Below are 24,785 nucleotides of genomic sequence, written 5' to 3'. Positions count from 1 at the left end.
CCAATATGGTGAAACCCCCATCTCTACTAAAAATACAAAAATTAGCTGGGCATGGTGGAACGTACCTGTAATCCCAGCTACCTCAGAGGCTGAGGCAGAAAAATCGCTTGAACCCAGGAGGTGGAGGTTGCAGTGAGCCGAGATCACACCACTGCACTCCAGCCTGAGCAACACAGCAAGACTCCATCTCAAAAAAAAAAAAAATCAATTTAAAACAGCATCTAAATGTCAAATACCTAGGAATAAATCTAACAAGATGTGCAAGACCTCTATAAACTACAGAACTGTAAAACTGTAATGACAGAAATTAAAGACCTAAAGGAATGGAGGGACATATCATTTTTATAAATTGGAAGTTAACAGGAGGTAAATTCTCCAAAAATCTATCTTTAGACTGAATGAAATTCCAATCAAACTTACAGAAAGATTTTTATGGGAACTAACAAGCTGATTCTAAAATGTATATGGAAATGCAAAGGACCAAAATAGTCCTTTTGGTCTGATCAAAGCAAATTGGATCACATCTGATCTGCAAATTGGAACTGATCAAGCAAATTGGATAACTTTCTCTGCCAGATATCAAGACTTATCATGACATTACAATAATTAAGGCAGGGTGGTATTGACAAATAGATCAAAGGGACAGAATATAAAGTTCAGGAACAGATCTTCATATAATCTGTGTACAACAAAGATTTAAAACAAGGCAGTCCAGGCATGGCAGCTCACGCCTGTAAGCCCAGCACTTTGGGAGGCCGAGGCAGGTGGATCACTTGAGTCCAGGAGTTTGAGACCCGCCTGGCCAACACAGCGAAACCCTGTCTCTACTAAAAATACAAAATTAGCTGGAGTGGTGGCACAAGCCTGTAGCCTCAGCTACTCGGAAGGCTAAGGCACGAGAATCACTTGAACTTGGGAGGTGCAGGTTGCAGTGAGCTGATACCACACCACTGCATCCAGCCTGGGTGACAGAGTGAGACCCTATCTCAAAATAAATAAATAAATAAATAAATAAAAATAAAACAAAGGTAGCACTGCAGAGAAATAGGTAAAGGACAATGCTATAGGCAGGTTCCCAGGAAACAGGCTTCAAGATGGAGATTCACATGCAGGTGTTTTATGGGGGAGTGCTTTCAGGAACAACACCTGTAAGGAAATAAAGCAAGCACAATTGAGCAGAAGGAGAGATTTAACTGTAATGCAGTTGCAACAGAGGTCTCAGCCAATTCCAATGGCCTTTTAGAGAGACTGCAGTTTGAGGCAAGGGGACCATCCTTGGCGTGTGTACCCCTATGCTAAACAGTCATTAGATGCAAACAAGGGAATCTAACCTTGGATGATGCAGCTCTCTTCCACTAAGGAAAATTCCTGGGGAAAGACTCAGTTATAAGCTATCAGCAGGCAACACTTCCAGTAGTTGCAGGAGTGGGTATCTTGGTCCTGAAACAGAGATCTGGAAAGCTCACCACAGCCAACAATAGAGTGTACCCCTTGCACCACTCAGATCCTTACTTTATATAATAAGTTTAATCTATCTGGAAGCCATTCCTCTAGGATTCTGATTGATCTTTTTTTCTAGAGAAACTTACTGTAAGGGAAAGGTTAAATGGAATTAACTACTGACCTTACTTCTGCAGCTGATTTTGTGACCACAACCGATACACATCATCTATCTCTTCTACTGCCACTATAGATTCTCTTCGTCCTTGGCTAACATCTACACTAGTCTGCATAGCTCACCTGATGGAGTGATCCAGACTGTCATTTCTGGAGGGTCAAGCCCCTGGCACCATGTCTCTCCAAGGCAAGCCAGGGTTCCTACATTTGTCCATTTGCCATCAAAATTGAGCATAGGAATACCAAGACCTAAATGGATACTAAGACTGAAGAATGCTAAGCGTATTACTAACTGGCCACTGTGCATCCACCATAGAAGATGCATTAAACAACCAAGAAGACAGATAACCTGGCCAGTTCACACCAGCCAACCTCTGTCATAAGCCATCAGTTTTGGACAACACAAATGAACTGGTCACAGTGGCAGAGACGAAAGCCATTCATGGGTCCCATAGCATTGGCTCTCACTTTCCAAGCTACTGCCACTCAACTCTGCCGACCTGTCAGCAGCAGAGACCAGTGCTGAGCCCCTGCTATGACACCGTACCTTGAGGAAAACAATCAGCGACTTGGTGGCAGGTTGATTTCATTGAGCCATCTCCATCTGTTAGGGGCAGTAATGCATCTTGACTGGAATCAGCATGTATTCTGGGTATGTGCTTACCTTTCTGACCACGGGACCTCAGCTAGCATGAGTGTCCAAGGGCCTAGAGAGTTTTTGATCCTTAGCAACACAAGATTTTACACAATGTCTCATTAGACCGAGAGGCCCATTTTACAAAAAGAAGATGTATTAGCTTGGTGCAAAGGTAATTAAGGTTTTTGCCATTACTTTCAATGGAAAAAACCGCAATTACCTTTGCCCCAACCTAATGGTAATGCGTACATGACCATGGGATCCACTAGGCCTACCACATGCTGCACCACCCAGAAGCTGCTGGTCTTTTCAAGGTACAGCTGAGGTGCCATCTTGGAGACCATACTCTGTGATGATGAGGTGCTATCCTCCAGGACACATTAAATACCCTAAATAAATGATCATTATTAGTGCCATATTCCCAAAAGGTATTATACATGGGTTCAGAAACCAAGGGTTGGAAACACGAGTAACCCCCTTTTCAACATTGCTCCCAGTTATCCACTCAGGGCCTGTGTACTTCCCAGCCCCACAACTCTGGGCTCTGCTTGTCTAGAGGTCCTGGTTCCCAAAGGGAACCAATATAATGAGTACTATTAATTTTTAAGCTATGATTGCTGCCCTGCTACTTCAAGCAACAAGAAGAATCACCATTCTGAAAGAAGTAAGTGATCCTTATCATTAGGAGGCAGTGGGGCTGCCGCCCTTACCTGCAGCATTGCCTGTTCCTACTTTGGCCTGAACTCAGCTGGCAGCCTTGTGAGGTACTCAATAAATGAGTCAGAGCAGTATCCCCAAGTATGAGATATGCTTTGTTTTTTCCATTGTTGTTATTGTTGTCATTTTTTGTTAGTTTGTTTTTGAGACAGGGTCTTACTCTGTCACCCAGGCTGGAGTGCCATGGCACAATCATGGCTCACTGCAGCCTTGATCTTGCAGGCTCAAGCAATCCTCCCACCTCTGCCTCCCAAGTAGCTGGGGCTGCAGGTGCAAGCCACCACACCCGGCTAATTTTTGTATTTTTTGTAGAGACAGGGTCTCACCATGTTACCCAGGCTGTTTTCAAACTCCTGGGCTCAAGCAATCTGCCCACCTCAGCCTCCCAAAGTGTTGGGGTTACATGTGTGAGCCACTGTGCCCAGCCTCTCCTCTGCCTTGGAGGGGATGACCTGTCATACCATAGACCCTGGAATTCCTAAAACCATCAGTGATATGTTGGGTCCCTAAATCTTTGTGTGTTTTATTCATGCTTCTTAGTGTTCCTGTGTCTTACAAAGACCTTAAATATATTTGCCATTTCTTGCTCATCTAATTCAGTGATCATAGTGTCATTGATAGAGTGAATTAATGTGGTATTCTACAGAATGTCCAGGTGGTCCGGATCACTTCAAACTATGACACAGGGCGAAAGTCACCATAGCCTCAGAACAAGATAGTAAATGTATCATCTTGTCCATCCCATGAACATGCAAACTAGCTTCTAGTCCTCTGGAAAAATACATTTAGATCAAATGGCTTCACAATGTATAACTGAAGCTGTGTTAATCTGCTTAAACAAAGATTCCACATCTGGTAGGGCATCTGTAACTGGGCAACTACTTGTGGAACTTGCAGTAGAACACAGTTATCTTACAGGATCGACTTGGTGTTTATGTAGGCCAGACTGCTGAATTATATGGAGATAAGACGGGGTTCACCACCCATGCATCCCTTACATCTTTAAGGCTGGTATTAATTTTTGCCATTCCTCCCAGGATCTGATACTGATTTTTTATTTATTATTTTGGCCAGAGTGGGGTATGTTGCAGAAATTTCTACATAACCTACGCCACTAGGATAGCTCTTACCCCCCAGTTCAAGGAAACAACATGGGTGTTCTGTCAACTATAAAGTGGGTTCCAATTATATAGCAGAAGATGAGTGAAATGACCACTGGCTGGGTATGTGAACTGGCCCTGGGCCAGGACTCCATTTATTATCTGACTCCCTTAAGCCCCAGGGGCCATGATGATGCTTCGGGTTCCCAGGTATCAATGACAACTTGAGCCTTGTGTCCAACAGTCTTCAAAATACTGAGTATTCCTCTTTCACCAACGTATGGCTACCCTAGTAAATGACTGTAGTTCCTCTGGGGAATGATTGGGGGGAAGTCGTGACTGATATGACTTCTATGGTGTTGCAGGGTCATTCTTTCTGTTAACCTGGCCTCTCACTCAGTCAGTAGATTCTGGGTCTGAAAACAGGCTCATGCTTGGGAACTAGGCAAGAAGTTGTGATTTTTTAAAATATTGGGTCAATGGCACTAGCCTTTTCATTTTTTCATTATCTATCTTTGATTTCTTTTGATTGTACAGATTGAGTAATACATTTATTTTACTTGACATAATTCACAGGTTTATAGATTGAGCAATACTTTTTTTTGCTGTCCATCTACTTCCCCCTAGGGAATCCATATTCTATTAATCTTCTCCATAGCTCTCTCCAGATGATCCTCCTCTCCTCACCACTGCCACCCTGACCTTGCTGCTCATTATAATAATTGCACTCACCTTATTTCTGAAGGCTAAGTGCATGCCCTCTATTATTACAAGACCTTTCATCCCCATTACTGTCAGGCAGCTCAGTTCTGCAACAGCATGTTTTGCCATCAGCTCTGGAGTACAGAGCAACCACTGAGTTTCCAATGACACCAGTGCCATCACTGGCACTCTTTATTGTTTTGGTAAATGAAATGTCTTACAGGCATTTCTGAGGGACACAGTCAACTGATAGGTTTTCTGGCCACACATAGACCATCCACTCTGGCATGCCCTCTTCTCAAAATAATCCATTATATTTGGAAGTCAGGAAAACAGCTATATTTGGGGAAGAGAGAAAGATAGTAACTGGGAGAGAGAATAGGGGTTTTCTGGAGTGCTGGTCATGTTCTATTTCTTGACCTGGATTGCGAAAATCCAATAAGCTATATAATTATTTGTGTACCTCATTCTATGTCTGTTAGACTTCAATTAAAAACAAAAGTTGTTTTTTTTTTAAGAGACCTATGATAAATGGAAAACTAATGCCAAGAGGAGGACTTTGTAGGTTAGAACCAAGAGAAAGCATGTTCTCCCCGGGTTGTTCACGTCGATACCTCTTTACTGCACAGTATGATTGGTCACTCAACAAAGAACACACTCTGTTCATTAGAAGAATTTTTTTTTTTAATTCAAGGGAGCAAACAAGATGGCCTTCCTTGAAACACTCCTCCCTTTGCTTCCATGAAACTGTACCCACCTAGTTCTACTCCTACCTTCCTGACCGGCCCTTCTGTCTCCATTTCTTCCTCTTCCCTTTAAATACAGATGAGAAATACTGAGTGGAGAAGAAACCTCAACTCAACCACTCAACATGACACCCTGAGCAAATTATATCCGTGTGAGAAATCACGTCTTAAATAAGGAGTCCAGATAGTGATACTCACTTTACTTCCTAACAGGGTTACGGATAGATTCAAGGGAGAAAGTGGGCATGAACCATTTTGAAAACTGCAACATAGGAATGAAAGACATTCCTCCAATATTCTGTCCTCAGCAGTAGCCTTTTCTTTTCTGTAATATCTTCCTCCTGGGACAGTTTCACCTACTCTCATGGCTTTAACTATCATCTGTTTGATTATTATTTAAGGAGATAAAAAGATTAAAGCTATAATATAGGCAGAGCAAAACATGAATATAATATATAATTATATTTGGCCTCAGTGTCAGTCTTCCTGGACTTTGGGAGCAAGGCTGGTAGCTTATTTTCCCACATGGAAAAAACTGCTTTTTACCTTTTGCTGTTAATGTCCTTCTGGTGTCATTTCTTTTCTCTATCTCATGATCGGGGCATTCTTCTTTTTTCATACTCTTGGTTTTTCACACTCTCTCTGACTACTTCCTTTCCACTTCTACCCTAGGACAGCAGTTCTCAGACTTCAGCATATAAGAATTTACAGAGGAAAACATTACGCTTAGTGAAAGATGCCACAAAGGACTGCATGGTGTATGATTCCATTTTCTATGAAATGTCTAGAATAGGCAAATCTGTAGAGACAGAAAGCAGATTAGGTGTTGCCTGGGGATGGGGATGGTGGTATGGGGGAATGAGGAATACTGACAGCAGGAATGAGATTGCTTTTTGTGGTGATGTTTGCACAACTCTCTGAAATACTAAAAACCACTAAACTACACATTTTAAACAGGCAACTTACATCTCACAGTTGCTAGGGGGGAAAAAAGAATCACAGGAACGGCTTGTTACACAGATTCCTGGGCCTCACTCCAAGAGTTTCTGATTCAGAAAGTAGTAGATCTCTACTCAGAGTTTCTGATTTAGCAGAAACTTGCATTTCCAACAAGTTGCTAAGTGATGCTGATGCTGCTGGTCCAGGACCACACTGTGAGGACCACCACACTGGAGTAGCACTGTCTAATAGAAAGGTAACACAAGCCACATGTAGAATTAAACATCTTTTCTAGGAGCCACATAAAAATATAAAAAGAAACAAGTAGGCCGAGCGTGGTAGCTCCTGCCTGTGATCCCAGCACTCTGAGAGGCCAGGGTGAGAGGATCACTTGAGGTCAAGAGTTTGTGACCAGCATAGGCAACATAGCAAGACCTTATCTCTACATAAAATTAAAAAAAAAATTATCCAGAAGTGGTGGTGCACACCTGTAGCCCCAGCTACTTTGGAGACTGAGGTGGGAAGATCACTGGAGCCCAGGAGGTCAAGGCTGCAGTGAGCTATGATTGTGCCACTGTACTTCAGCTGGGAGGCCCGATGAGACCCTGTCTCTTAAAAGAAAAAAGTAAAATTAATTTAATATGCTTTAACAGAATCTATCAAAAATAGTTTTAATAGGTTAGGCACGGTGGCTTACACCTGTAATCCTAGCACTTTGGGAGGCCGAGGTGGGCGGATCACTGAGGTCAGGAGTTCAAGATCAGCCTGGCCAACATGGTGAAACTCCATCTCTACTAAAAATACAAACATTAGCTGGGTGTGCTGGTGCATTCCTGTAGTCCCAGTTACTCGGGAGGCTGAGGCAGGAGAATCATATGAGCCTGGGAGGCGGAGGTTGCAGTGAGCCAAGATCTCACCACTGCACTCAAGCCTGGGCAACAGAGCGAGACTCCATCTCAAAAACAACAACAACAAAAAATATATATATATATTTCAATGGATAGTCAATATGATATACTTATTAACGAGATATTTTATACTCTATTATTTATACAAAGTCTTTGAAATCTGGTGCATACAGCACTATACTTAGACCACATTTCAAGTGCTCAATAGCCGCAGTTGGTGGCTAGTGGCTACTGTACTGTAATGTACTAGAGTATTCTCATATTTTCCTTTCTTGAAATGGGCTGGGGTTGGTTAAACCTCATCTGTATAATGGTGTAATCACCATAATATTCTATATTTCACGGGATTGCTGAAGACGTGAAATTAGTTAATAGATGTAAAAATGCTTAGAATAGTTTCGGGCATGTAATAAACAGCATTATCTATTATTATTTCTCTAATAATAGTCATCAAATGAAAGAAAACAATATCTGGCTTGGTGAATTTTGAATAGAATTAAAAAGAAAGACATGTTAGCTATTTCAAGTTCTGACCTAAATCAATGAAATAAAATAATGATAGATTTTAACCTGTTTGTATCACATTGAATGCTTTTGGCTGCAAGAAACAGAAAAATCAATTCAATCAGATTTAATAATGAAACTAAAAGCTCATGTAACTGGGGTACAGAGGGAAAGTACATTTCAGTTTTGGTTGACACAGTTCAAACAATAATGTCATCAAAAGGTGTCAGGCTCTTTCTGTCTCCTTACTCTGACCTTCAGTATTGTTTTTTTCATCCTACAGCTGGTATTCCTCTTGGTTTAAGGATGGCTGTTAGTTACAATTAGGATAGATGCTTCTTGATTTTCATCTGGCAGGAGACACAGAGAGAGCGACTCTCCTCCAGTGACTGAACAAAATCCTTTTCTTCAGTATCATAGGGGCTAACTGGTAAGGCCAGGTGCAGTGGTTTATGGCTGTAATCTCAACACTTTGCAAGGCCGAGGCAGGAGAACCCCTTGAGCCCAGGAGTTGGAGACCAGCCTGGGCGACATAGTGAGACCTCATCTCTACAAAAAAATTTAAAAATTAGCTGGGCTTGGTGGTGTATGCCTGTGGTCCTAGCTACTTGGGAGGCTGCGATAGGAAGATTACTTGGGCCTGAGAGGTTAAGCCTGCAGTAAGCCATGATCACATCAATGCACTCCAGCCTGGGTGACATAGCAAGACCCTGTCTCAACAAGTAAAAATAAAAATAAAAATAAAATAATAATAATAGGGGCTATCTGGGGTGCTGGCGATGTTCTATTTTTTGACCTGGGCTTGCTTTGTGAAAATCCAAGAAGCTGCATAATGATTATTTGTACACTTTACTGTATATATGTTAGACTTCAATTAAAAACAAAAGGTTGATAGAGTGCGGTGGCTCACGCCTGTAATCCTAGCACTTTGGGAGGCCGAGGCAGGTGGATCATTTGAGATCAGGAGTTCAAGATCAGCCTGGCCAGCATGGTGAAACCCTGTCTCTACTAAAAATATAAAAATTAGCCAGGTGGTAGGGGTGCATGCCTGTAATCCCAGCTACTCGGGAGGCTGAGGCAAGAGAATCGCTTGAGCCTCGGAGGTGGAGGTTGATGTGAGCCGAGATCGTGCCACTGCACTCCAGTCTGGGCGACAGAGTGAGATCCTGTTTTAAGGAAACAATTATAAATGGGGGAAAAAAACGAGTAAGAGGAACACTTTTGTTTTGTTTTGTTTTTTGAGACAGGATCTCACTCTTGTCGTCCAGGCTGGAGTGCAGTGGCATAATCTCTGCTCACTGCAGCCTTGACTTCCCAAATTCAGGTGATCCTCCCACCTCAGCCTCCCCAGTATCTGGGAGTACAGGCACATGCCACCATACCTGGCTAATGTTTTGTCTTTTTAGTGAAGGTGAGGTTTCACCATATTGCCCAGGCTGGTCTCAAACTCCTGGACTCAAGCGATCAGCCCACCTCAGCCTCCTGAAGAGCTAGGATAACAGGCGTGAGCCACAGCGCCCAGCCAGGAGGAACACTTTTGGTTAGGAGCAAGATGAAGAGTGTTCTCTTCTTAGCAATATGTAATATTCTTTTGCTTTTTAAAAAACGTATGCAAAAATATAATATACAGCTAATCTGTGTTGATATGTATATGCTAGTTAATTCATATCCCCTGTTGTATACTGTTTTTTGTAAATATTTATTTGTAAATACCACTATTTATCCATTCTTCTGTTTCTAGATATTAAAGACTTTCTTTTTTTTTTTTTTTGAGACAGTCTCGTGCTGCCGGCCAGGCTGGAGTGCAGTGGCATGATCTTGCCTCACTGCAACCTCCTTCTCCCAGGCTCAAGCAATTCTCCTGCCTCAGCCTCCTGAGTAGCTGGGATTACAGGCATGTGCCACCACGCCCGGCTAATTTTTGTATTTTTAGTAGAGACGGAGTTTCACCTTGTTGGCCAGGCTGGTCTCGAACTCCTGACCTCAGGTAATCCGCCTGCCTCAGCCTCCCAAAGTGTTGGGATTACAGGCATGAGCCACCGCACCCGGCCTTTCATATTTTTCTTATTAGAAGCAACACTACTATGAATATGCTTGTACATGTCTCCATGAATAGATATGGGAGAACTATTTCTTTTTTTTTTTTCTTTTTTTTGAGAAAGAGTTTCACTCTTGTTGCCCAGGCTGGAGTGCAATGGTGTGATCTCGGCTCACCCTGCAACTTCTACCACCTGGGTTCAAGCGATTCTCTGGCCTCAGCCTCCCGAGTAGGTGGGATTACAGGCATGCACCACCACGCCCGGCTAATTTTGTATTTTTAGTAGAGATGGGGTTTCTCCATGTTAGTCAGGCTGGTCTCGAACTCCCGACCTCAGGTGATCCGCCTGCCTCAGCCTCCCAAAGTGCTGGGATTATAGGCGTGAGCCACTGTGCCCAGCTGGGAGAACTATATCTAGGGTTACATCTAGGAGTTACACCTAGGAGTGAAATTTCTGGGTCCTGGCACATGCCATCTTCAACTTCATTAGATATGTCAAATTATTCTCCAAAGTGATTTATCTATTAAGATTAGGTTTAGTTGCAAGTGATACTAAGCCCAAAATAATAGCGGGTTTAAAAATAGCAAAACATTTCTCACTTACATAAAATAAATCCAGAGCTAGGCAGTGCAAGGGTGGAGTGGTGGCTTCACAAAATCATCAGGGATACAGGAGACTTCCGTCTTGCTGCTCCACCATTTTTAGCATGCGGTCTTCATCTTGTAGTGCAATATGGATGTTCAAACTTCACTCATCACATACACATTCCAGCCAGCAAGAAGGGAGAAGAGGAGAAGAAAGACTTCCAAGTATATACTGTTGGCCAGCACTTAGTCACCTGATCACACCTAGCTGCAAGAGAGACTGGGATGTGTCATCTTTATTCTGGGTGGTTAAATGCTCTACAAAAAATAGTGGATTCTATTACTAAGGAAGAAAGGGAAAACTGATATTGGAAGTAAATGAGCAGTCTCTGAAACACTGATAATACTATTGTACTATACATGTCTACTAGCAGTGTTGAAGAGTTAAGTTGCTCCACAAACTTAACAACAGGAGGGATCAAACTTTACTTTTTGCAATCTGATTGGTATGAAATGGTTTCTCACTTCTTCATTTAATACATTTTTATTTAGGTTCTACTATTTGCCAGTTACTGCTAAAGGTGCTGGGGAAACAGCAGTGAGCAAATCAAAGTGCTAAATTCACAGAGCTTACATTCTAGTGGAGAAGCCAATAAATAAACAAGTATACATGTATGTGTGTAGATATAAGTTGCTGTTGATAGTTGCTGCTATGGAGAAAGGTGGAATACAGGTAAAGTTGCTATTTTATACAGGTTGGTCAGAAAAGACCTCATTGACAAAAGACATTGACGCTGAAACCTGAAGTGAGGTAGTGAGCCATGGGAATGAATGTGCTAGGGGAGGGCACTCTGTCTCTACTAAAAATACAAAAAAAAAAAAAAAAAATCAGCTGGCGTGGTGGCACAGGGAGAGCAGCAGGAAGAGCAAAGAGGCCAAAGCAATTACAGTGGAGTGAGTGAGAAAGAGAGTGGTAGGATCTGAGGATGTTAGCAGATGTGACCTGGGCAGAGACCCGACATGTTTCTGTGGTCAGGCTTGTGCTCTTGCACTGCTGCCGTCACCATGAGAAAACCATGCTCCAGTGAGCCACTGCCCTTCCCACCTGGACTCCAGAGTGTTCCACAGTTGAAGCACAGGGATCTTAGCTGATCAGCATGAGCAAGAAATAAATGCTTATCGCTGTATACCACTGAGATTGTGTGTGTTCGTTATGCAGCATTTTTGTAGCCATAACTAACTGGTACACTTCTATATCCACCTCCATCCCCAGTTTCTCAGTTTCCCTTCTTCTTTTTTTTTTTTTTTGAGACAAAGTCTCGCTCTGCCACCCAGGCTGGAGTGCAGTGGCGCGATCTTGGCTCACTGCAACCTCCGCCTCCTGGGTTCAAGCAATTCTCCTGCCTCAGCCTCCTGAGTAGCTGGGATTACAGGAATGAACCACCACGCTCGGCTAATTTTTTGTATTTTTAGTAGAGACGGGGTTTCAACATGTTGTCCAGGCTGGTCTTGAACTCCTGAGCTCAGGTGATCCGCCCGCCTCGGCCTCCCAAAGTGCTGGGATTACAGGCATGAGCCACTGTGTCCGACCTCCCTTCTTTTTTCTAAGTGGAATGATTAATTCACTTATTTACAATTTTTTTTTTAAATCTCAAAAGTACTTTTTTTTGAAATGGAGTCTCCCTCTGTTGCCCAGGCTGGAGTGCAGTGGCACGATCTTGGCTGACTGCAACCTCTGCCTCCTGGGTTCAAATGATTCTCGTGCCTCAGCCTCCCAAATAGTTGGGATACAGGCATGTGCCACCACGCCGGCTGATTTTTTTTTTTTTTTTGTATTTTTAGTAGAGACAGGGTTTCACCGTGTTGGCCAGGCTGGTCTCGAACTCCTGACCTCAGGTGATCCACCAGCCTCGGCCTCCCAAAGTGCTGGGATTACAGGTGTGAGCCACCATGCTTGGTCTCAAAAGTTAATTTATTATTTTTTTCCTCTGAGAATAGTTTTGGTTACACAAGACAGCTTTTGATATGTAAAGTGCCCATTGCTATTCTTCTGTAATTAAAAAAAATAGGACCAGAAAAGATAACTATTGGGTGTTGGGCTTAATACCTGGGTGATGAAATAATCTGTACAACAAACCCCTGTGAGACAAGTTTACCCATGGAACAAACCTGCACATGCACCCCAAACCTAAAAGTTAAAAGAAAATAATTGCAATTTATATTTCCTCTATCTCAAGATAATTTTTATTTTGCAATCTTTTAATATTAGTTCTAATTTCATTGTGGCTAGAGAACATACACTGTATCATTTCTTCTTTTTGAAGTTTACCATTTTAAAATTTTCTTTGTGAACAAGTGTATGATTGATTTTTGTGAATGTTCCTTGGACAAGAATAGTTGTATTTTCTATTATAAGATACTAAGTTCTATTCAAAACTATTATATCAAGCTCGTTGAGGGTTTAATTAAAATCCTCCATAGCCTTGTTATTATTATTAGTCATTTGGTACATCAAAGTTTAGAAACACGTATTAAGCCTTCTAATAAAATTATAGTTTTATGAAAATCTCCTTGTATTTTTTAAAAGGTTTTGCCTTATGTAGTTTGCTACTAAACTGCTTGATGTATAGAGATTTATAACAACTATATATATATTTTTTTGAGTCGGAGTTTCACTCTTGTTGCTCAGGCTGGAGTGCAATAGCGTGATCTTGGCTCACTGAAACCTCCACCTCCTGGGTTCAAGCGATTCTCCGGCCTGAGCCTCCCAAGTAGCTGGGATTACAGGCGCGTGCCACCACGCCTGGCTAATTTTTGTATTTTTAGTAGAGACAGGGTTTCTCCATGTTGGCCAGGCTGGTCTCCAACTCCTGACCTCAGGTGATCTGCCCACCTTGGCCTTCCAAAGTGCTGGGTTTACAGGCATGAACCACCATGCCTGGCCCAATTATATCTTCTTCATTTGGCTTTTTATCATTATAAAACAGTATTTTGGAACATACATTTCTCCTTTATTTTTCATTCTAATCCATCATTGCCTGATGTATCTCAATGGCCTACTCTGCACAGATGGTGACAGAATCCACATAATATCAGTTAGTATGGGCTGGGTTATGCTACAGTAACAATGATCCCCGAAATCAGTGGCTTACAACAACAAAGATTTATTTCTCCTCACACTACACAGGCCTCTGAGGGTCTCAGCTAAAATCAATGGCAGTTTTTTTTCTGGAACACTGTTGGTCATCTTGGCAGAGGAACAGAGAGCATAAAAACTTCAGCTAGAACTAATACACATTAGTTTCATTTACATTTCGCTGGTCAAGATTAGTGTTCACATGATCTTGCTTCACTAGAGCAAGAGACTGAAATCCTTTTACAAGGTGAGTCACTGAATATTTATGAGTTATACAGTTTAGATACACACACTGATGTGTGCAGACATTAGAAAAATCATAGTCATATATAGGGGCATTCAATAGCTTGAAGAAAGTAAACCAAGACCAAAACACAACAAAACAAAACAAAACAAAACCACCAAAATCCAGAATAGCTGACTCCTGCTATCAGTGGAATTAAATGGCTTCTCCTGGAGCTACTTTTCTCCTTCTACACCAGGGTCTACTGCCCGGGGCCCTTCAGGTAGCATTGGACTGAACAGTCTTCTCCCCAGATTAGACAGAAGCAGGACTCTTCTGAGACTGCTGGCTCTTTGATCCTTCTCTGACATAGCACTGTCAGCTTACAGATGTGTCCCTTTGCCTATATCATAATATTTTACATCATCCTCTCAAGAACCCAAAGCTTCAGGCTGGGCATGGTGGCTCATGCCTATCATCTCAGCACTTTGGGAGGCAGAGGCAGGAGGATTGCTTGAGCCCAGGAGTTCCAGACCAGCTTGGGCAACAGAACGAGACTTCATCTCTACAAATAATAATTTAAAAGAAATTAGCTGGGCACAGTGGTGCATGCCTGCAGCCCCAGCTACTCGGGAGGCTGAGGCAGGAGGATTGCTTGAGCCCAGAGGGTTGAGGTTGCAGTGAGCTGTGATTGCACTACTGCACTCTGACCTGGGTGACACAGCAAGACCCTGTCTCAAAACAAAACCCAAAACCTTAGATTAAGATCCCTTTCAGGATCAAGCCTTTGTCTTAAAGAGAGAGGTAGTCAACGGTGTTTGTCTACAAAACACTCTAACTCAACTTTCAGTTCTTCGTCATTTCATGCTGGCTTCTTTCTCTCAGTCAAGAATTTCTCTAAAACTCATCCTAGTCCTACACATCTCTGCCACTCACCACCACTATGTGTGTCTGGAAGTCTCATCTGTCTTGCAGCACGATCACCATTATTTCCTTTACCATCACGTGGTAATCATAGGTGCTGCTCACCCTTATCTGGTTCTGTTTCTCTTTTGAACACATGGTAGGACTGCACTTTCTGGCTTCCTTAGGGTTGGTTCTGTGTTGAGTTTTGACATGACTTGTGAGAAGTGATGTCTGTCTTTTCTGGACTCTTGGTAGTGTGAGATCCTCTAGAGTTCTCTCTTTCCCTTTTGGAAAAATACATTGATGTTTTTGGGGTTTTTACTGTTGCATAACCTAGCCTATCCTGACCTAAACACATCCTTTTAAAGTATTCAAAATGTACATGACAAATTCAAGACACCTATAACCTTTGATATGTCTTTAGACACCTAAAGAGTACAAAATGCTCTACAACACTTGAGGTACAAATGTATTCACTGCACTCTTATCTGGCTAAGTCAAAATTAGATTGGCTCAAGCACCAGATGCCATTTAAGTAGGAAGTTCAGAATCATTCTATTAGGCGATTGCCACTTACCCTACATGATTTTTCTGTGTAGTCCACACACCTTCCGCATCAGAATCACCTGGGGTATTTGTTAAAAACACAGGCTCTCCTGCTACCCCTTAAATGAGAATATCTGGCAGCAGGAATCAACATGCCCCCCAAGTCATTCTTATGCATACTTCACACACGATCTTTCTGTCTGAAATTGCCTTGCCCTACTTTGCATGTCTGAGTCTTATATGAGTTTTAGACCAACACAATCCAAAAGTACTTTCTGCAATAATAGAAATGTTGTATACATGCACTGTCCAATACAGTAGCTATTGACAATTTTTTTTCTTTTTTTTTTTTTTGAGATGGGGTCTCCCTCTGTTGGTTGGGCTGGAGTGCAATGGTGAGATCTTGGCTCACTGCAGCCTCAAATTCCTGGGCTCAAGCGATTCTCCTGCCTCAGCCTTCTAAGTAGCATGGACTAGAGGCATACACTACCGTGCCCCGCTATTATTTATTTATTTATTTATTTATGTTTGCAGACATGGGGTTTCACTATTTTGCCAGGCTTATCTCGAACTCCTGGGCTCAAGCAATTCTACGGCCTCGGCTTCTCAAAGTGCTGGGATTACAGGTGTGAGCCACAGTGCCCGCCCACTATTGGCTTCTTGAAATATGGCTAGTATGACCGAGAAACTGGATTTTTAATTTAAATTAAAATGGCCACATGTGATTAGAGGCTACCATACTGGACAGTGCAGTTCTAGACTGTTAGCTCCTTTAGATCAGAAACGATATCCTCCATCTCTGTATCCCCTCTGTGCCTGGCACAAAGTAGCCAAGTAAATGAAAATTGAAGTAGAAAATAGCCTAGGCTATTTTTTTTGTTTTTGGCTCAGGGTATATTAAGCAATGAAAAAATACAAAATATGACTACAAAGATTATAGTATATTTGAAATGTTTACCTTACATTTACAAAGCAACTTTACTGTCCAGTTCTCAAGGTAAGTACAGTATTAAAATATTAAATCATAGACACATTGGTGTTGATGACAATGCCTAAGAATAGTCATAGCACTCAGTTACCTTTCTGCCTTCAACTTAGCAAATATAAAAGATGTATTAAGACAACAATGAATCCTGCTTAGAATCTTCCATGTACCTTCAGTTAAAGAAAGTATGTGGAAATAGATACACTAGTGAATAGTACCAGATCATTAATATTTGAAATCAAAGAGTTTAAAACAAGGAGTAGGATTTAGATTAGATATACAGAGAGCTAATCCTTCAAATTCTGGCCTACTAGAAGAGAATACTGAGCAAGATTGTGAGAAAATGATTTGATGGGAGAACCTGGGACTTGAAGCTTCCCACTTATGCTTGTCAACCATTACTTCACCTATCCATCTCCCTCAGGAAAAAAAAAAAAAAAGCAAAGTTAAGAGAATGACATGCTGCAGAGCTGCAATAACATTAAAAGACAATTCATCGTTTTAGCTCTATTTATCTTATGTAAAATGCTAGAGAACTCATAAACAAGATATACTCTTAGCAGAGAAGGGTGTATACGTTTTTTTTTTTTTTTTTTTTTTTTTTTTGAGAAGAGTCTCGCTGTGTCACCCAGGCTGGAATGCAGTGGCACAATCTCAGCTCACTGCATCCTCTGCTTCCCAGGCTCAAGCAATTCTCGTGCCTCAGCCTCCCAAGTAGCTGGGATTACAGGTACACACCACCATGCCTGTCTCATTTTTGTATTTTTAGTAGAGACGGGGTTTCACCATGTTGGCCAGGCTGGTCTCAAACTCCTGGCCTCAAGTTGATCTGCCTGCCTTGGCCTCCCAAAGTCCTGGGATTACAGGTATGAGTCACTGTGCCTGGCCAGGTGTATAAGTTTTAACTTTTACCTGAAGTGAGGGAAAGGGACTAGGAATAAGATAGTCATCATAAGTGTATTTACCATTCATTTTCCTAGTTTTTTCACAAACAACTTGAAGTGGCTAGTGAAATTACAAACAGAATGTAGAAAATTATAGGTAAGCCGGCTGGGTGCAGTGGCTCACCCTTATAATCCCAGCACTTTGGGATGCCGAGGTGGGTGGATCATGAGGTCAGGAGTTCAAGACCAGTCTGGCCAACATAGTGAAACCCCATCTCTACTAAAAATACAAAAAATTAGCCAGGCGTGGTGGTATGCACCTGTAATCCCAGCTACTTGGGAGGCTGAGGCAGGAGAACTGCGTGAACCCGGCAGGCGGAGGTTGCAGTGAGCTGAGATTCGCCATTGCACTCCAGCCAGCCCAGGCAATAGAGTGAGATTCCGTCGCAAAAGGAAATTATAGATAAACCAGAGAAGGAGAAAACCCAAACTTAAGTACAAGGTTCAGTACCAGTAGAAAACAAATTAGAATGCAGATATACAGACCACAGGTTTCTACTCAGGCACTAAAATGGAGCCACACTTTGACTCAGAGCTTCATGGCAGCTAAGGTGAAAAGGAACACATATCCAGCTATGCAATTCACTTGCTGTAAGCAAGACACATCAGTTATTCAAGAGTAGCCAAGCTCTTCATGATACCTGGCTCTGAAAGAAAATTCTCATGTGATCAAGTGCACAGTAACAATCCTATAGTAAAAGCTATTGGAGCTTAGAAGATGATACCCCAATATATGGCACTTTGAAGTACTAAAGAAGCAGCTTCAAAATCTGACACCTCTTCACCCACATCCCATCTCCAATCTTATCTCTCCTAAAGCTCAGGATGAGGCTCTTCTCTTTAGTTCCCTTATATACCTATAAATTGGACCCATCAAAGAGGAACACAATTGCCTTTGATTCCCTCCCTGAAATTAACTAGAGATTAAACCTCACATCAGAGGAAGAGACTGAAAATTAAACACCACATGTAGAGCCCAAACTTTGTCCCAAACTATCATCCACTTTCCCTTCCCACTCAATTCCCAAAGAGAATCATTTACTAACCATTGCCTGAGCATTGGAGCCATTTATTCCTCCTAAAAATAACTTACTGTCCCTTAAAATTACCACATCTCCCCCATCTCTCCTTCTCTTATTAAGGGTATATAAGCATCTGGACCTCGTTGTGTTACTGGATAATCATTCTCCTGTGATTCCCCTGTGCTTATGCACGTTAATAAATTTGCATACCCTTTTCTCCTAATCTGCATATTGTCAGTTCATTTTCAGCACAGCTTCAGAGGGCAGAGGGGAAGCTTTGCCTATTTGCCCACACAATGCACTGGTGGGCTCTGTGGAGTTGTCTCTTCCAGAATTGCTTAACATATGCAGAAGACACAATACTCAAAATACAAGCCATGAAAACACTCTTGGTGGTGGATGAGGAAAGTTTCTGTGTGTGTGCTCAGGACAATATGGTCAGGTATGCAGTGTCCTGATGGACCAGCTAATATTGTGTGGCTGACTAAAGGCAGATACATACTGTTTAGAATTCAGTAATCTAAAAAGCAGATGGTAGAGGGCTGACAGCCTTTTGTGAAGAGTGAGTCACCCTATTAAGATTCTCACCTAAATAGGAACATTCCTCTCCATATGGTAGTGAATAGAGAGAGCCCCTGCAGGCAATCTAGGATTTTCCTTAAAAAAACAACACTTCAAAAATAAAAAAAATAAGTGTTCAAGACCATCAAGTTCCATCCAATAGAGCAAGAGGTCTGCGAACTCACAGACAAGTCATGTTTTTCTTTTCTTTAAAAAAAATTCCCATTAGTTACCAATATTTAGAGGTCAACAGATTTCAAATCTGGCAACTTTGGATGCTTATACCACATAGCAACAATCTGCTGGGCTGAGTATAGAGTACTTACCCACCTGCCTAGGCCATTTAGGCATTAGAATGCTCTGTTGGAGAATGATCAAAATTTGGATTGAAATTTTTCAAAGAAGAAATGATCAGTTGCTCACTCTGACGGTAGGAAAATCTAATTAATGCTCCCATGAAATGTATGGCTTTTAGCAAAGTGGCTGGCCAGTAAATCTACCTGGAAGAATTACTTGCAAAACATACCCTTAAGTAAATAAATTAACGTGGTATTTAGTTACTGGATCTAAGCCAATTAAATTTGAGGACATGTGCCCTAAAAAATTATTTTAGTTTTGGAACAGGTGATCTTGATCCATTCCTTCTGATAAACGGTGAGCAACAAAATCAGCCATAAAGTTTATTATAATAAAATATCATCAGCATATAGGAAGATAATGGGTTTTTTGATTTCTAAAGCGAGGGAGCATGTGTCCAAATAACCTAAAAGTGGTTTCAAATTACTTAAACATAAGTTAAAAACAAGAAGGGCTACAACTATTTTATGCTACCTAAAATACTTTTTGATCCGTCTGAACAATTCTATTGATCTGGACTTTCCAGGTCATACAGAAGTCTTGGTTTTATATGAACCTGGATTCTATATTTAACTCATGCAACTTAACCTGAAACCAGCTCTTATTCACAGAGTCAAAGCATGAGAAATCATTTGAAGCTTCAAACGTTCTTTTAAGAACAAAGTTTATTTTTCTAATTATAAAAATTATCATTGTACATTGTCAACAATTTGGAAAATAAAGAAAATTTACATTATTTTTCTCTCAACTATTTATTTTTAAAAATTTCAAAGCAACAGAATACAGATATGCAGGCCAATTCACCCACTTACAAACGCTGAGCCAACAAATTTACTCAGAGCTTCTTGGCAAAGTGAAAAGTGAAAAACAGGCAGTTATATAATTCACATTGCCTATAAAGAGAAAACACATCAGTTACTCAAGGGTAGCCAAATATTTCATGACTTGTGGCTCAGAGAGAAAATTCTCTTGTGTTCATATGAGGAACACAGAGTGATATCACACACAACAACCTGTCAACTATGCCTTCTAGAATTCCTCAGTATAAGGGAAAGGGTACATAGTATGAAGCCTGGGGGGTTAAAAGCATGGATTCGAATCCTAGCTTTATCACTTATTAATTGTACCTTGAGTAATTACTTAACTTTCTATGCCTTGGCTTCCTGTTTTATAAAATATTGTGAATAATATCACCTACTTCAAAGGGCAGTTATGAGGCTTAAATGAACTAATGCCTACAAAACACTTAAACATAGATAACATAGGTGCAAGTACTATGTATCTGGTACATGGTAAACATCCTTATTATTAAAGTCAACGCTAAAATGAATGTGTGTGCATATGCTAATAGTACAGAGAGAGGGCACTTAAACCAACTAAGGGCCTGAGGGAAGGTTTCCTGGAAAGAGGATGCTTGTGCTGGGTCCAAATCTTGGTCTACTATGACCTTGGCCAAATTATTTAAACTTTGTCCCTATCTGCTAAAACAGATACTTTGTCAGTGATCTATACAATAAGCTAATGTTTACAAAATTAAGTAAGATAATACATGAGGATTAGACAAGCAAATGTATTAAAGCATGGCATTAGTGACAAAAAATATTTCCTCTTGAATCTACTGGAAAAATATAAATTATTCTTGCATTTAACTTTTATTTGTGTCCATTTTAACAACTAACCAATTTTAGTTTAGAAACAGTTATATATAAATATTCATTTAGATCACAACAAAACTACCTAGAAGGAATGTTAGGTGACAACGCTGGTTTAGCACAATTCTCCTGTTCTTTTTTTACCTCCATGGAAATGCCTTAATATATTTGTGTCCATTTTTGAGGCATACTGTGTTTACTTAACAGTGTAGGTAAGTACAACACTCTTGACTTCCATTAGATAGAGCTAACTGCGCCCTTATCTGTATCACTTTATATATCCCTCATTTCACTTCATACAGATTCTGTTATAGTATATTGTATTATACTTACAATATATTTATATCTAGCTTTTAGGGTCTTGCTCTGTTGCCCAGGCTGAAGTGCACTGGCACAGTCATAGCTCACTGTAATCTGGTAATAGCTCACTGTAACCTCAAACTCCTGGGCTCACCCAATCCTCTTGCCTCAGCCTCCCAAGTAGTTAGAACTGCAGGTGCGCACCACCACACCTGGCTAATTTTTAGAAAATTTTTGTAGAGATGGGTGTCTGGCTATATTGCCCAGGCTGGTCTCAAACTCCTGGCCTCAGGTGATCTTCCCATTTTGGCCTTCCAAAGCACTGGGATTACGGGGCATGAGCCACCACAATCAGGTCTATCTTATTATTTTTTATTTTTATTTATTTACTTATTTTAATTTTTTTTTTGAGACAGAGTTTTGCTCTTGTTGCCCAGGCTGGAGTCCAATGGCGAGATCTTGGCTCTACACAACCTCTGCCTCCCGGATTCAAGTGATTCTCCTGTCTCAGCCTCCTGAGTAGCTGGGATGATGGCATATGCCACCATGCCCGGCTAATTTTTGTATTTTCAGTAGAGACGGGTTTTCATCATATTGGTCAGGCTGATCTCAAACTCTTGACCTCAGGTGATCTACCCGCCTCGGCCTCCCAAAGTGCTAGGATTACAGGCATAAGCCACCGCGCCTGGCCTTACTTTTTTTTCTTTTTTTTTTTTTAAAGAACTATGACAGCTAGTTACATACTTAGTATTTCTCTCTCTCTCTCCAAATTGTGAGTTCCTTGAAAACTGTGTTATAGCCATAGTATCTAGGACAGAAGCTGGCATGAAATATACTGATTCTTAGTGGTTGGAAAATGGTCTGAGAAGGATTTGAAGTGTGCTGTTATAAGCAAGTGAGTCTGATATGAAATTGGGGTGATTGAGCCCGGGGGTTGAGGCTGCAGTGAGCCAAGATTGTACCACTGCACTCCACACTGGGCAACAGAGCAAGATGCTGTCTCAAAAATAAAAAATAAAAATAAATAAAAGTATTGAATCAGATATGACAAAAAATAAAAAAATAAAACTGGGGGGATTATCTAGGAATTAATGAGAAAATCATAGACTCAGCTTGATCTCATCCTTTGCCAGATGCGAAAACCAAAGCCTGGAGTAGTTGAGGGATTTGTTCAAAGTTATCTAGCTAGTTAATGGCCAGAATCAAGACTAGAATCTCAAAACTCCCATCAAACTAGTCTAGAGGCCAATCCACTATATTGATCTGCCTTTCAGATCTCAGTGATTTGGTATCTATCTCCACTATCCCACTGAAGTTTGCTATTGTTGGTTACCAATCACTTTTCTGTTGCTAAATCCAGTGAATGCTTTCCAGTTCTTGATATACTTGGCCTTTTTGTGGTCTCTGACTCTGTTGACCCCTCTCCATCTTGCTTGCTTGGCTTCAGAGGCATTAGGCTCACCTAGTTCTCCTTTTCTCTCTCTGGCCATTCTTCCTCAGACTTCTTTTTGGGCTTCTGATCATCTGCACCTCCTTTTAAAGTTAGTGCTCTCCAGGGGCCCTATCCTTGCCTCTCCTTATTATGTCTTCTGTATTTTCTCCCTGATTGATCTCATCCATGCCTCGGGCTTAAATTACCAATTATTAATTTATTTCTTCCAAATCTATTTTAACTCAACCTCTTTCCTCATTCATAGACCTGTACAGTTTGAGTGTTTATTGGACATTTTTCTCTAGATGTGGAGGTTCCATCAGGTCACAGTCATATTGCTATAGTCTCTGAGGGGACCTACTGAATTGTACCCTTCTTTTCCAGGTAATGGAGAAAGCTGCAGGAAACCAACTATTATCTTTATTACTGACTGTATCAGTTTCCTATTGCTGTTGTAACAAGTTAGCACAAACTTGGTACCTTAAAACATACAAGTTTCTTATCTCGCAGTTCTAGAAGTCAGAAGTCCTAAAATCAAGGTGTTGGCAGGGCTGTGTTCTTAGGGTGCTAGAGAAGAATCCATTTCCTTGCCTTCTCCCGCATCTACAATTTGCTTGCGTTTCTTGGGTCCATCTTCAAAGCCAACAGTATAGCATCTTCAAATCTCTGTCTGACCTCTGCTTCCATCATCACATCTCCTTCTCTGACTCTGACCCTCCTGCCTCCAGCCCAGTCAGACAATCCAGGATAATCTCCCTAGATACATCATTTAATCATATCTGCAAAGTCCCTTTTGCCACATAATATAACATATTCATGGGTTCTGAGTATTAGGGTGTGGTCATCCTTTTTTTTTTGGTTGGGGGGGATCATTATTCTGTGTAACACAGCTGACAAAGCTGGTATTAAATATTATCTGTGGACAGACAGCTTCCTAATGCCAAACTCTGGAATTAAATACATATACTCTCTTTGTAGCCCTGGACTAGGCACCCTTGTCCCTACCCACAGGCCCTGCTCCAGAAGAAACGGAAAAGAACACCAGGACAGTTCCCTGAAGATAGTTATCTTTTAAGAGAAAAAGAATGGGATAGATGCCACATGTCCAGTTTCTCCCATTTAAGTTCACCAATCAGGAAGTCACTCCTCTAGGCAAGAGTGAGTTGCAGACAGGTATAAGAGAAACCAGGAGAGTATTACACTAATGGATATCATTCCATATGGAAGAAAGACATTGTGAATGGAGAGTAAATGTTTCCCTAACAAACATATCCATATTTGAACTCATCATCATACTCCACATATCTGGTCATCCTCCTAAGAAATGTCACCATCACTATCTATAATAGTAACTTAGACACTTGTGGATAATCAAGACTCATGTAGCTTGCCATCTTGCTAAATGTTACCACTGTCTACCTCAGCACTCATGCTAGAAACCTGGCCTACTCATTTATCCGCACTCAGTGCTGTGAATTCTACCACCTTAATGGCGCTAACATCTATCCCCTCCTCTATTCCCACTGCCAATGCCTTGTTTAATGTTCTTATCACTTGTCTGGAGTACTGCAATGGCCTAAAAATGGGTCTCCCTGCCCCAAGCCTTGCTTTTCCTGACCATTTTCACTTTCTACTTTTACTCATGAAGCTTCCTTTGCCCGGAATTAAGTCCTTCCCAATTTGTCTCCTCCAACAACTGCAAGGGCGGTCCCCTAGCTTGCTCCAGCGTCGGGGATAACTGACTTTCCTACACCAGCTACAGTCAGACCTGCACCCGGATTTCTAGGACTCTTATCTATGTAGATAGATAAATACATTTTTTTGAGACAGTGTCTTGCTCTCACTGCAGAGGCTGGAGTGCAGCGGCGCGATCACGGTTCACTGCAATCTTGAACTCCCCAGGTTCAAGCGATCCTCCCACCTCAGCCCCCCGAGCATTTGTGACTACAGGCGCGCGCCAACATGCCCATTTAGTTTTTGTCTTTTTTGTAGAGACGGGGTTTCACTATGTTACCCAGGCTGGTGTCGAACTCCTGAGCTCAAGCGATCCGCCCACCTCGGCCTCCCAAAGTGCTGGGATTACAGGCTTGAGCCACCAAGTCAAATGGGCTTTATACTTACAAAGTACCTTTGCATACCTTATTTCATTTTCACCTCACAATTCTCCAGCGTAGGCTGGACCGGTATTATTATGCCCATTTACTGAGAGAGGAAACTGAGAGTCAAGG

General features: G+C 41.4%; 1 long non-coding RNA gene across 1 annotated transcript; it reads right to left on the bottom strand.

The window, feature by feature from the left end:
- Positions 1–969: 969 nt before the first annotated feature.
- Positions 970–24,785, bottom strand: LOC105375044 (uncharacterized). Its single transcript, XR_926767.4, has 3 exons — positions 24,696–24,785; positions 10,513–10,761; positions 970–1,146 (listed from the first exon to the last, which is right to left on the bottom strand). It is a non-coding gene; the product is annotated as an uncharacterized LOC105375044 (long non-coding RNA).

This window comes from Homo sapiens, chromosome 6, assembly GCF_000001405.40.
Source record: "Homo sapiens chromosome 6, GRCh38.p14 Primary Assembly".
Taxonomy (NCBI): Eukaryota; Metazoa; Chordata; class Mammalia; order Primates; family Hominidae; genus Homo; species Homo sapiens.
Note: the sequence above shows the minus strand (reverse complement) of the source record. Positions and strands in the feature narration are given on the sequence as shown.